This window comes from Homo sapiens, chromosome 1 (assembly GCF_000001405.40).
Source record: "Homo sapiens chromosome 1, GRCh38.p14 Primary Assembly".
In the NCBI taxonomy this organism is placed as follows: domain Eukaryota; kingdom Metazoa; phylum Chordata; class Mammalia; order Primates; family Hominidae; genus Homo; species Homo sapiens.
The window spans coordinates 93,484,922-93,498,680 of NC_000001.11; the positions used below are offsets into that span (position 1 = coordinate 93,484,922).

The 13,759-nt window shown below is 37.5% G+C and overlaps 1 protein-coding gene and 1 pseudogene across 3 annotated transcripts in view; one reads left to right on the forward strand and one right to left on the reverse strand.

The window, feature by feature from the left end:
- Window positions 1-13,759, forward strand: part of FNBP1L (formin binding protein 1 like) — a 106,544-nt gene that overhangs the window by 36,804 nt on the left and 55,981 nt on the right. The window lies entirely within an intron of this gene.
- RNA5SP53 (RNA, 5S ribosomal pseudogene 53) lies at window positions 3,412-3,531 on the reverse strand (annotated as a pseudogene).

Here is a 13,759-nt window from a genome sequence, read left to right on the forward strand (position 1 = left end):
GTGGGAGGATCCCTTGAAGCCAGGTGTTCGAGACCAGCCTAGCCAACATAGCAAGACACTGTCTCTACAAATAAAATTAATTAGCTGGGCATAGTGGCACATACCTGTAGTCCCAGCTATTTGGAAGGCTGAGGCAGGAGGATTGCTTGAGCCCAGGAGGTCAAGGCTGCAGTGAGCTGTGATTGTGCCATTGCACTCCAACCTGAGCAACAGAATGAGACCCTATCTCTAAAAAAAAAAAAAAAAAGGAAAGAAAGGTAGTAGGATCTCCCACATTACAAAGAACTGTGAAATAAGATAGCTGTGTGGGAAGATGGGAAGATGGCTCATATACTACACAGATAGAGCTTACTTCACACAACAGATATGCTCTGATAGTTTGTAAATTTATTTTGGATTAATCAAATCATTTTAATTGTCCTAAGAACATATACTATTTTAAAGACCCCTATAGAGAACAATTATCCTGTAATTTAATTTTTTAATAAATACATTTATATATTGAGTTTGCTAGAAGACATAAAACCTATGTATTGTATGAAGTTCAGTCATACAAAGCTGACCACTAAAAATTGTTAACAGTCATTACTGTATATAACATTCTGGAGGTCCTAGCTAGTGAAATTAAAGACAAGTGATTATTTGATAACTCTCCTTTCCACTAAGTATATTTTTACTCACATCCCTAGTGCCAAGCTCAGCACTCATTTTTTTGTTGCATTAAATGAATAGTAATAGCTACCAGTGCCAAGTACTATGTTAAATGCATTATTTATATTTCGTTTCTTTTTTTGAAGTGGAGTCTCTCTCTGTTGCCCAGGCTGGAGTGCAGTGGTGTGGTCTCAGCTCACTGCAACCTCCGCCTCCCGGGTTCAAACGATTCTCCTGCCTTAGCCTCCCGAGTAGCTGGGATTACAGGTGCCTGCCACCACGCCTGGCTGATTATTTTTGTATTTTTAGTAGAGATGGGGTTTCACCATGTTGGCCAGGCTGGTCTCGAACTCCTGACCTTGTGATCTGCCTGCCTCAGCCTCCTGAAGTGCTGGGATTACAGGCGTGAGCCAACGTGTCTGGCCACATTATTTATATTTCATTTAATCTTTTCACTTTAGAATTGTGTAATTACTCCAGTTTTACAGATGTGGAACAGGAAGCTCAGAGATCAAGTGCTAGTAAATGACACTGTGTTAGATGGCAGATGCAAAGAATTACAAATGGATTCTGTACTTAGAGTTTTTAGTATACTAAAAGCTCTAAGTGAACATGGAAAATGTTAGCCTACTGTTCATGTGTAGTTATTACAGCATTGATGTTTGGTCTCATATACCTTTATTGCACGGATGTACCACTATTTTGGTGTAATACAGTTATTTTGGAATTAAAAAAAATCAGAATCACTTGCATGTTGAGATGTGCCCAGCTAGTTATTAGAGTTTCAGATGTAAAAATGTCACTCTTCTATAATTCCATAATTTTCAAGAAGATGAAGAAAATAATGGGTAAAATATGGCTCTGTAGCAGAATACTTTTTTTTTTTTTAAAGTGCTTTACCATTTACCAGTCTTTCACATACATTCTCATTTGACCCTCACAACAACCCTGTAAGGTAGGCAGCATAGGTGTTCTCATTTGACAGTTGAGGAATGTGAATCTCAGAGCAGGTAACTGATAATAATAATTCTTAATTCAAAGACTTTCTGAATAAGTAAATCTCAACTATTGACCTTGCCTTCTGTTTTACTGAAAATAAACAGAAGCAATCGTAGGAGAATTTCCACGTGCTCCTACTACCACATCTACCAAGCTGTTTAGACCTATGCCCACTTACTTTGCCTTCTCTCCTGTTACTGTAATTGAACTGCTCATGCTCTTAGCAAAGGCTCAGTGCTCATTGCTCCAGCAATGAACACTGCTTCTACACTTAAGTGTTTTCTTTTCTTTCAGATCATTTCCATTAGCAAGAAAATCATATTATTTCTTTTATCTTAAAAACCACCCTCACTTGACCCCACTCTTCTCTTTAGCTATTTTTCATATCCTTTCTCTCCTTTCAAGCAAAATTCCTTAAAAGTGATGTCCATGCTTACTGTCTTCAACTTCTATCTAATCTTTTGGAACCCATTTCAGTCAGGCTCTTACCCTCATTATTTCAACAGAACTGCTCTTAAGACAGTCAATGATCTGCATGTTGCTAAAGTGGTCAGTTTTCAGTCTTTTTACTACTTTTAATAGCACCTGACAAAGTGGAACACTTTCTCCTCCTTGAAATAATACATTATTCATTTGGCTTCTTTTTTCTTCCCCCCAAATGTTGGCTTTTAATTTTGCTTGTTTTGTTTCATGTCTGTAACAGTGGGTACCTGGGATTTGATTTTGCCCATTCTTTACTCCCCTATCACTTTCTTTTCATCCAAGAAAGCCTGATTTGGATAATCAGTGTAAGTCAAAGTGTTCAAACTGAGTGTATAGTTTGTCAAGTAAATTTCAACTCTTACAGTCTGAAATGTTACAAAGTTAGGCTGTAGTACATGTTTGGCATCTCATTTTTCATCATACTTAATTTGTCACTGCATTCGATAGAGGAAAGCAGAACAAATAAGTTTTCACTAACCAACCACATGACAGAGATTTTTGACTCCAGGCCTGGTGGAAATTCAGAAAAAGAGAAAATCATATAAGGGAATGAGGCTCCTTAGAAGACCTTGGAAGATCTTGTTAACAGGTCAACCTAACTAGCCATAAACGCCCTGAATTCAGGACTAAGATTTTCATCACTGTAGTGATCTTCATTTGTCTTCTTATAAATTATGCCACACTTTTCTAGTTTTACTTGTACCTCACTGGTCACTCCTCAGTGTCCTTTGCTGGTTCTTCATCAATTCCTTGACCTCTGAATATTGGTGTGCAACAAGGCATAATTGCAATCATGTCCAGGGTAATTTTTTTATCGTGTATCTTCAGCAGGACCACTACTATTAATTCCAGACATATGTATTTAGTTGCCTACTCAACATGTCAACCTGGATGTCTTAAGGACATCTCAAATTTAACTGTCTAAAGCCAAAACTTTTTTCTTCCCATTGCCCAAACTTGATCTCTTATTTTAGTTAAAAGCAGTTTCATCCTTCTAGTTCATGGGGCTCAAAATTGATGTTTGTTTTTCTTTTACAACCCATGCTCAAAATATTAGAAAATTTTGTTAACATTACCTTCGGAATATATCCAAAATCTTAACCACTTTTCACTACCCTGCTGCTTTTACTCTGGACCAAACTAGCTCATCTCTGGTCTGGATTATTGCAGTAGCCTCCTTAAAAGGTCTCTCTTGCTCTGAGTTCGGGGTGTGTGTGTGTATGTGTGTATTGTGTGTGCGTGTAATTTTTGTTTTGTTTGTCTTTTTTAAAAAGAAAAAGCCTGTAGCACCCAGTATACCCAAGCAGTCTCCCATCCAAATACTAACCAGGCCTGACCCTGCTTAGCTTCCAAGATCAGTCAAGATCAGATGTGTTCAGGGTTGGTGGGTCTGTGGACCTTGAGCTAGTTTTTAATCAACATGGAAACTCCAGTGATCTATTTAAAAACTTGCATTGGGTCATGCCAGGTTTATTGGAGGTTATACCCTCCAATGTATTTCCAACTCAGGGTTAAAGCCAAGGTCCTTATGGTGGAAGATGGGGCATATAAACTGGCATTCTGGCGCTCACACACTCCAATATCTACTACTCTCCCCTCTTGCTCGCTCAGCTGTGGCTTGCTTATTCAGCTTTTTGCTCTTCCTGGAATACATCAAACATATGTAGGCCCAGGGTTTTAACCATTTTAACAACTGAACTTGTAACTGCACTAGTTCTCCAGGTAAGCAGAAGTATTAGGGTTATGGACAGTTTATCCGAAGTAATAACCAGGAATGCCTAATAAAAACATGCAGGTATTGTGGTAAAAAATAGAGTTGGTGAACAAGGAGTTACCTTCTGACTGTTTCTCTTTTAGTGAAGTAGGAGGCAAGGTTATTAGCTAAGAGTGAGATGGTTAGGAGATGGTGTAAATTTAAAGGAAAAGAATAAGGTATGAGATAGTTGGCTAGGATAATGAAGTAGTGAATGGTTTTGAGCTAAGTAGTATTAAAGTCCCTTAGGTAATAGACATGAATTTCAAAGCACAACTAGCCAACCTGGTTCTTTCTTTTCTTTTTTCCAACTTTCTTCAGCAGCATGAGGAAGGGTTAGTAAAAATCTAACCATAAATCAGGGTTGAAATTTGGCAAAGCTAGAGAGGGGCAAGGACAGTGAGTATATTTGGAAGGAGTGATTATAATGACGGCTTAGGGAATCCAAGCTGTATAAAGGTGGATATGACGACAGGAGTGGGTGAAGGATAATAATAATGATGTGTTGGGAACAATGGGTTGTGGTCTCTGTGGGGCCAAAAAATTGTTGGACTTGGGGTATTTCAGGGAGTGACTTGACAGGGTAGCTGTCTGAGAAAGATATTCTTGAAATTTATTGCAGGGAAGTGGAGTGGGAGAAACAAGATTGACATTCTTCCTACTTCATAAGGCAGTTATTGCTATTGACAATGGAGATGACCATGGGAATGACTTACTAAGGTGGAGTGGAAGTGAAAATCACAGAGAAGTTAAAAAAAAAATTGCAGTAGGGTATTGGAAAGATCGTTTGGGTAGATTTTGAAGTCACTACAACCTTAATTTAAATTTAAGAAAAAATTAAATGAAAAGACTTGGAGGAGTTTCCCAAATATGCGAGTTTTCCCCTATCTTTAAAAAAACAACACCATGAGAAACCAAAAATAACTAAATTGATTTTTTAAAAATTCTACAATATTTCTCAATTTTCTTTGAGGATAGACATGGTTGATCCTGAATGGAAGTTGGTGTTTTAGCTCTATGAGACTGAAACAAAAAGTTTCTGCAGTCCATAAGAGTTAAAGAGGGAGAAAAGTCAGTTGTGTTAGATCTTTAAAAACATTTTTGGTGGTAGTTTGGTATTCAGAAGTGCTGGAGGAACTTTGGCAGAAAGTCAGAGCCATAGAGCAAGTCCAAACTAGGACAGCAAAGTCATTATTCTGCTTTTTAGTGAAGAAAGTATTTTTAAAATGATGATGACACTTGGTTTTTTACCAAAAAGTACTTTATTGGTACTTCATTTGGATGCAAGGCTGTATCAAAGTAATTGGGAAAACAAGGATTGAATATTAAATAGTGACTTCTAAAGTGATACATAAAATAGTTTTTTTTAAATTAAATTACATTAAAGACATACAGATAAAAGCAAGAAGACTGAGTAAACATAATATTTATTGCCTCACATTACTATACGGTAGAACCTTGTAGCAACATATAATTCGAGTTATACTACATAATGTGGACATTTATGTTGGTGCTGATGCCAGCTTTAATTTAGAATATTTTCCTTGTGTTTCCAAGTAAATACAGTAAAATAACTTTAAATATTTTACAAAATTAAAAAAGAATGCCCAAAGGAAACAGAAAATGAGCTTTCTTGAGTTTACATATAAGATGATAAGATTTAAATTAGAGCTCACCACTGATACAGAGATTCATTTCACACAAGCTATGGTAAGAATGAATGTGTTGGAAAAGGAAGTGAGAGGATATTTAAGACAAGGAAATGAGGAAGTTGAACTCTGAGTAAGTCCAACTAGCTGAAATTACTAACTAGTAATTTATTCCAGGTTCTATCTGGAATAAATCCATAGGAATAAGAACAGTGCTAAAGGTAGAGAGAATAGGGAAGTGATGCCTCTTTGATGACTTAATATTCTTCTTTATTTCTAACTTACAGATGATTTCAGAATACTGCTCACCTTCACTCCTTTAGTTTGTCATGATCTTTTCCCTTGACCTTTTCCATAGTCCCAAAGTATTTGCTGATGTGGAGCCAGGAGGATGTATGATCTCAGGCTTTGAAACTAAAGAGGTTGGAAGATGTTACTTTTGATAATCTAAGACTTCATGACTTTGATTCTTACATTTTATTATTTACTTAATTATTTTTAAGAGATTGGGTTTTGTACTGTCACCCAGGCTGGAGTGCAGTGTGCGATCATGGCTCACTGCAGCCTCAACCTCCCAGGCTCAAGCAATCCTCCCACCTCAGCCTCCAGAGTAGCTGGGATTACAGGCATGGGCCATGATGCCTGGCTACTTTTTTTAAAAAATTATTTTTTTTAGAGATGGTCTTGCTGTGTTACCCAGGCTGGTCATGAACTCCTGGACTCAAGCAATCCTCCCACCTTGGCCTCCCAAGTGTTAGGATTACAGGCGTGAGCCACCATGCCTGGCTGATTCTTATATTTTAATTTAAAAACTTTCTACTTTATATTGTGGTGATTAAAACCATTCCTTGCTTTCCAGCCTTCTTCTCTCATGTTTCTGGAATTGTTTGATCACTAATAGTGTGACCACTAAAGAAAGGCTGAATGACTTTTTTTTTTTCCCACCCCAAAGAGACAGGGTCTTGCTCTGTCACCCAGGCTGGAGCACTGTGGCATGATCACAGCTCTCTGTAACTTTGAACTTCTAGGCTCAAGCTGTCCTCCCATCTCAGCCTCCCCGGTAGCTAGGACTACAGGCATGTGCCACCATAACCTAGTATAAAAAAATTTTCGTTTGTTATCCTCCCACCTGGGCCTCCTAAAGTGCTGGAATGATAGGCATGAGCTACTGCCAGGTCACAGTTGTTAAAAAGAAGAGAATTTGTTTCACTTGTAGCTAAACTTGTATTATATTTTACCTTTATGGTGCCTTTTAAAGCTGATTGCTATTTTTTGAAGTTGGCTTTTATTTATTTTAAAAGTATAGTACAACCTTAAATATACTTAACACAATTATAGGCTTCTGTTATGTTTTCTACTTGTACAGTTCTATTTTGAGTTTTAAATCAACATTAACAATTAAACATTGTATCCATATATCCAGTTTTTGTCAGTTATAAAATAAATTTAAAACTTTAAAAAATGGTATCTAAATAATTTTTATAATTTGTAACTTATCAGTAACTGAAAAATGAAATTTGATTAACTTTCTCAATATTCTGATTAGCTGAGCTTTTAGACATTTGTTATGGTGACCAACTCTCAAAATACCTTTTGGAGAGAGCTAATACATAGATATAGTCTAAGGTTCTATCCAGTGGAATCACAGCACGCATGATTTTGAGTACTGGAGAAAATAAGAATGACATTTAGTTTTTAAAAACAATCTGATACAGGTCTTAGATATCTATTTTTTAGATGAAGTAATTTTTCTTTGAGAATCCTGAAAGAGCTTGAAAAGTGATAAATAGAAAATGAATTCTTTATGGGAACCAGTGGTGGAGGAGATAACAACAAGAAGAGAAAAGCCAGTAAAACCATATTAGTAGGGTAGGTAGGAAGGACTTGATAAAAATTAGATAAAGGATAATGCATTATTTAAATGCATGGGTCTTCAAAGAAGAGCACACAAGATGATCCACTGACATAAGGAGAAAAGAGCTTAGAACTTCTGTTTATATGTTATCTAAAAAATAAGAAATGGGATACTTTACTAGTATTTAAAATGTGAGTTGATACTGGTGTCTTGTCTTGGACTTAGAAAGTTTCCTATAAAGAAACCATGGATTGGGCTGGGTGTGGTGGCTCACGCCTATAGTCCTGGTGCTTTGGGAGGCCCAAGTGGGAGAATTGCTTGAGACTGGGAGTTTGAGACCAGACGGAGCAACAAAGCAAGACCCCGTCTTTACAAAATATTTTTAAAAATTAGCTTAAGCCCAGGAGTTCGACGCTGCAGTGAGCTATGATGGTGCCACTACATTCCTGGGTGAAAGAGCCAGATCCCATCTCTTAAAAACCTAAAAAATAAAATATAAAAAAGAAACTGTGGATTAAATATAATATTTTAATGTGAATATAGGCAAACGATAAGAAATGGCCAGGTTGATGCTTCTTAATGTGTTTGAGAATAAAACGTAAACAATGTTTATTAACAAAGAAAGATATAATGTCTATATAATCATATGGATTAGAGGTGACCTTCCCCCTCTAAGAAATTATTGAGAAGGTTATTTGAAATGGCACTTTGGGAGGCCAAGGCAGGAGGATCGCTTGAACTCAGGGGTTTGAGACTAGCCTGGGCAACATGGCAAAACCGTGTCTCTACTAAAAATACAAAAATTAGCTGGGCTTGGTGATATGCGCCTATAGTCCCAGCTACTTGAGAAGCTGAGCTGGAAGGATCATTTAAGCTCAGGAGGTCGAGTCTGCAGTGAGCCATGGGGCATCTCTGTAGTCCTAGTTACTTGGGAGACTGAGGCTGGAGGACGGCTTAAGCCCAGGATTTCGATGCTGCAGTGAGCTATGATGGTGAATGCATAGGTGAACCACAGGAAATTTATTTTTGGTGGAGGGGTGAAGATTTTTTTACTGTGTAAAATACATAATGTAAAATATACCATCTTAACCATTTTTAAATGTACAGTTTAGTGGCATTAAGTGCGTTGATACTGTTGTACAACCATCACCACCATAAATCTCCAGAATGATCTTCATCTTGCAACTCTACACTCATTAAATAACTCCCCATTCCTTCCTACCCCTGTTCCCTGTCAACTACCATTCTACTTCCTTCTCTCTGGTTTTGACTATTGTAAGTACCTCGTGTAGGTGGAATCATACAGTATTTGTCCTTTTCTGTCTTATTTTACTTAGCATGATGTCTTAGATATTTATCCATGTTTTGTAGCATGTGCCAGAATTTCCTTCCTTTTTAAGGCTGAATAATATTAATTGTATTTATATACCACATTTTATTTATTCACTTATTTGTTGATGGACAAGTGGGTTGCTTCCATAATGCTGCTATGATATGAATATGGGTTACTGGAAAGTCTCTTGAAATTTTGAACTTAGTGGTGAAAGACGTACACTATTAGAAATATTCTTGCTAAAAGGAAAAAGTGTTCCTTCTGACACCAAACACATGAGTTTTTTCCACTTGAACAACCAGTTTTTCAACTCCCTGGACACTAACTAGATGTCTTACAGTTCAATTTTGTCACTATCTGTCTGGAGTTGGTACAGATCCTACCGTTCAAGGGTTCAGTTCCATAATACCGCCTGGACTTCAAGCATCAATTGCAGGTCCTGGACTTCTGGTACTTGACTGACTTGGCTACAAATCAGGGGTTCCTGTGACCCCCTCCTCCAGTTTGATAATTTGCTGTAATGACTTACAGAACTCAGGGAAACACTTCATTTACTATTACTGGTTTATTACAAAGGATATTATAAAGGACACAGATGAACAGCTAGATGAAGAGGTACCTAGGGTAAGATTTGGAAAGACCCAGGGTGCATGATCTTCTGTTCCTGTGGAGTTGAGATGCACTGCAAGTGGATGTGTTCACCTACCCAGAAGGTTTCCAAATCCATGGTTTAGGGTTTTTATGGGGGCTCCATTACATAGGTATGATTGATTAAATCATTAATTATTGTTGATTAAATTCAGTCTCCATCCCTTCTCTCTTCCCAGGAGGTTTGGGGGTGGGGAGAACTGAAAGTTTCAACCCTCAGATCACATGGTTGGTTCCTCTCCAGCCAGCCCTTGTCCTTCAAAGTCACTGCATTAGCATAAATTTAGGTATGATTGAAAGGGGGTTATTATGAATAACAAAAGATGCTCCTCTTACCCCTGTGACTCAGGGAATAAGGGTTTTAGAATCAGGGGTGGAGACCAAATGTATATATTTCTTATTATGTAGCTGTATTAGTCTGTTCGCATACTGCTAATAAAGACATCCAAGACTGGATAATTTATAAAGGAAAGAGGTTTAATTGACTCACAGTTAGTTCCACATGGCTGAGGAGGCCTCACAATCATGGCGGAAGACAAATGAGGAGCAAAGTCACGTCTTACATGGGAGCAGGCAAGAGAGCATTGGCATTTGCAGGGGAACTCCCCTTTATAAAACCATCAGATCTCATGAGACTTATTCACTCTCATGAAAACAGCAAGGGAAAAACCTGCCCCCATGATTCAGTTACCTCCCGTGAAGTCCATCCCATGACATGTGGGGATTATTACAATTTGAGGTGAGATTTGGGTGGGGACACAGCCAAACGGTATCAATCATTAGCACTAACTCTTCCTTTTATGGTGAAAATAGTGATATGTGTAAAATATGGCAATAAAATAAATTATCTCAGCAAATACTCTTAGGCCACATGGAAAAATAGAAATATTTTTTAGGAGAGATTTCACATGGAAAGTTTGTTGTACAGTTTCATTAAAGTACAGAAGTTTCCAACATTTCTCAGCTTATGTCTAGATTGTTTCAATAATGAATAATGTTTCAATAAAGTAGTTATATTTAAAACTGCCTTTTTGTGACCCACTAAAGGAAAGATGTGTTGAGAAAGATTTATTCTTAACAGTAAATGTATTAACCACTGATAAAGTAGTGTGTTGGCTGGAATTTTAAAAAGGAAATTGGAATAAGGTTGGAATTTATTCACTTCATTTGTAGGTATGCAAAGAAAACTAAAGCAGGAAGTCCACAGAATATTAAGTTATATTTTTATTATGGTTAGTTTTATAAAAACAATACCTTTAAGGCTATTTACAGTGTTTCCAAATGAAACAGGGAGAGACAATTGAAAAATCTTTGTTTAATACAGGTTGGCTATTTATCTTCTGGCTGTTTCAAATTTGTTGACATTTTTCTTTAACTAGTATGCTTACCTACCAGGTATTTTTGAGAAAATTTAATCTGTCCCTTCAAGATAAAAGAGAAATTTTAATGGTGACTGAATATCTGCTTTTCCAAAGAAATTTGAGCTATATAGAAAGCATTTTGATGATGAATGTTTGGAAATGTATTCATTATATAATTTTGTTGCTGAAAATGATCTGTGTCATGTGCAAATATTATTTTGTCTGTACACTTAAAATTCTTAGAAACAGAAATCTTTTACTTGTTGTAAAGTCAGTGTTTTAGAGACAGGTAATCAACAGGATATATACATGTATAGAGAAAAATTTCTTTTAAGAAATTGACTCGTGATTGTGGAAGCTTGGGATCTGCAGGATAGGCCCAGGGAACAGTTGTAGTTTCAGACCAAAGTCAGTATTCTGGCAGAATTCTTTCTTGCTGGGGGAAGGCCAGTCTGTTCAATGAAAGCCTTCAACTGATTAGATGAGGCCCACCCACCCCTTTTGGAGCATAATCTGCTTTACTTAAAACACACCTATTTAAATATTAATTTTTTCCTTCCCTCTTACCCTCTCCCCCTCCCCACCTCCCCCTTCCTTCTCCTCTTTTTCCTTCCTTTCCTGTGGACAGGATCTCACTGTCACCCAGGCTGGAGTGCAGTGACACAGTCACAGCTCACTGTAACTTGAATTCCTGGACTCAAGGGATCCTCCCACCTCCGCCTTTCACCTGGCTAATTTTATTTATTTATTTATTATTAATATTTATTTTTGAGATAGGGTCTTGCTCTCTTACCCTGGCTGAAGTGCAGTGATCACGGCTCACTGCAGTCATGACCTTCTGGGCTCAAACAATTCTTCCACTTCAGTCTCCCAGGTAGCTGGAACTACAAGCATGTGCTAACATGCCTGGCTAATTTTTAAATTTTTTTTGTTAGAGATTGGGTCTTAACATGTTGCTAAGGCTGGTCTTGAACTCCTGAGCTCAAGAGATTCTCTTGCCTCGGCCTCCCAAAGTGCTAGGCTTACAGATGTGAGCCATCTAGCCTTTTTTATGTTTTGTAGAGACAGGGTCTTGCTGTGTTGCCCAGGCTGATCTCGAACTCCTGGCCTCGAATGAGTCTCCCATCTGGGCCTTCCCAAGTGCTGGGATTATAGGCATGAGCCACTGTACCTGGCCTAAATGTTAATTTCATCTAAAAAACACCTTCACAGAAACATCCAGAATAATGTTCGACCAAGTAAACATTTGGGCACAGTGGCACAGCCCAGATGACACATAAAATTAATCATCACAATTAGTTTCAGTGGGGTTTGAACTTTTTTTTGAGACAGAGTCTCGCTCTGTCACCCAGGCTGGATTGCAGTGGCACGATCTCGGCTCACTGCAAGCTCTACCTACTGGGTTCATGCCATTCCCTGCCTCAGCCTCCCAAATAGCTGGGACTACAGGCATCCGCCACCACGCCTGGCTAATTTTTTTTTGTATTTTTAGTACAGACGGGGTTTCACCGTGTTAGCCAGGATGGTCTCGATCTCCTGAACTCGTGATCCGCCCACCTCGGCCTCCCAAAGTGCTGGGATTACAGGCGTGAGCCAGTGCACCTGGCCTGAACTTATTTTTTAAAAATAAAAAGTTGTAATATTTTCTGATTTAGTTTAGTTTACAAAAATAACAAATTGGCATCAAATAAATTTATTGGCCAAATTTTAACATAAACCTTTGCATATTGGCAGGTGGGTTGAAAAATGAATTAGAAAATATAGCAACAGTAAATTTTTTGCATTGATGGTGTCTTTATATCTTTATGTGGTGTCTTTTGTTTCCCTAGCTATGGCAACAACTAGAAACTAGATATCATAGTTTAGAACCAATACCTTCAGATTACTTTACCATTAAGTGTTCAACTAGGAGTTTATAAATAATAAAGCATATTTGATTATTGCCCTCACTAAAAATATTCTTAATAATATATACATATTTTTTGAGACAGAGTCTCACTCTATTGCCCAGACTGGAGTGCAGTGGCATGATCTTGGCTCACTGCAACCTCCGCCTCCTGGGTTCAAGCAATTCTCCTGCCTCAGCCTCCTGAGTAGCTGGGACCACAGGTGCGTGCCACCACGCCTGGCCAATTTTTGTATTTTTAGTGGAGACAGGGTTTCACCATGTTGACCAGGCTGGTCTCGAACTCCTGACTTCAAGTGATCCACCCACCTCGGCCTCTCAAAGTGCTGGGATTACAAGTGTGAGCCACTGCGCCCGGCCATAATATTTTAAAAGTCATTGCTCAAAGGCTTTTGTTTGTCAAATATGTTAAAAAAAAAAACTGTTTAAAAATAATGTTCATTTCATTTTCATCTCTTTTTAAAATTTCTATTGTGATTTCATAACTACGTAATTCAATAGTATATCATTTAATATATAAATAACTACATATAATTGTTTTTGTTCAGGTTTTTTACTGATGGGGTTTGGAATTTAAAATTTGGAGACTTAATCTAGAGGATAAAGAAGTGTAATATAAAATTTGGTGAAGAAGATTGTGGGAAGAGAAGCCTTTGAAGCAATTTAGAAAAATAAAGGAAGATTGTTTCAGCTTTGAAGTGTTGTTGTTTTTTTTGTTTGTTTGTTTTTGGAATTGTTTTTCATTGATTGTGTTTTAGTTTCAGTTTGATGAAAATTCTAATTTACAGTAGTTTATATTATGCAGATTGAGTTTACTGAGCAGTGCATTTTCTTGCTGTATTCAGATATATTTTGAAAACCAGATGATAATCAGAAAGTTTCGTGGAAGAATAGAGTGGTAACTTGCTTTTAGGAGTAGAATTTTTTTTGATGGTTTAAGGTAGAGAAAGAGATAAAAGGCAAAAGGAGATAATTTGTTTGTAAATAACGTGACTAAACCACAAGTGATTTTAAAACAACCTGTAATTATGGAAAGGGATGATACTTGAATTTTTTTCAGCATTGCAGACTTGATATAAGAGGGGGAGACAGCACCAAGTTATTAGTCAATTTGGAGCTTG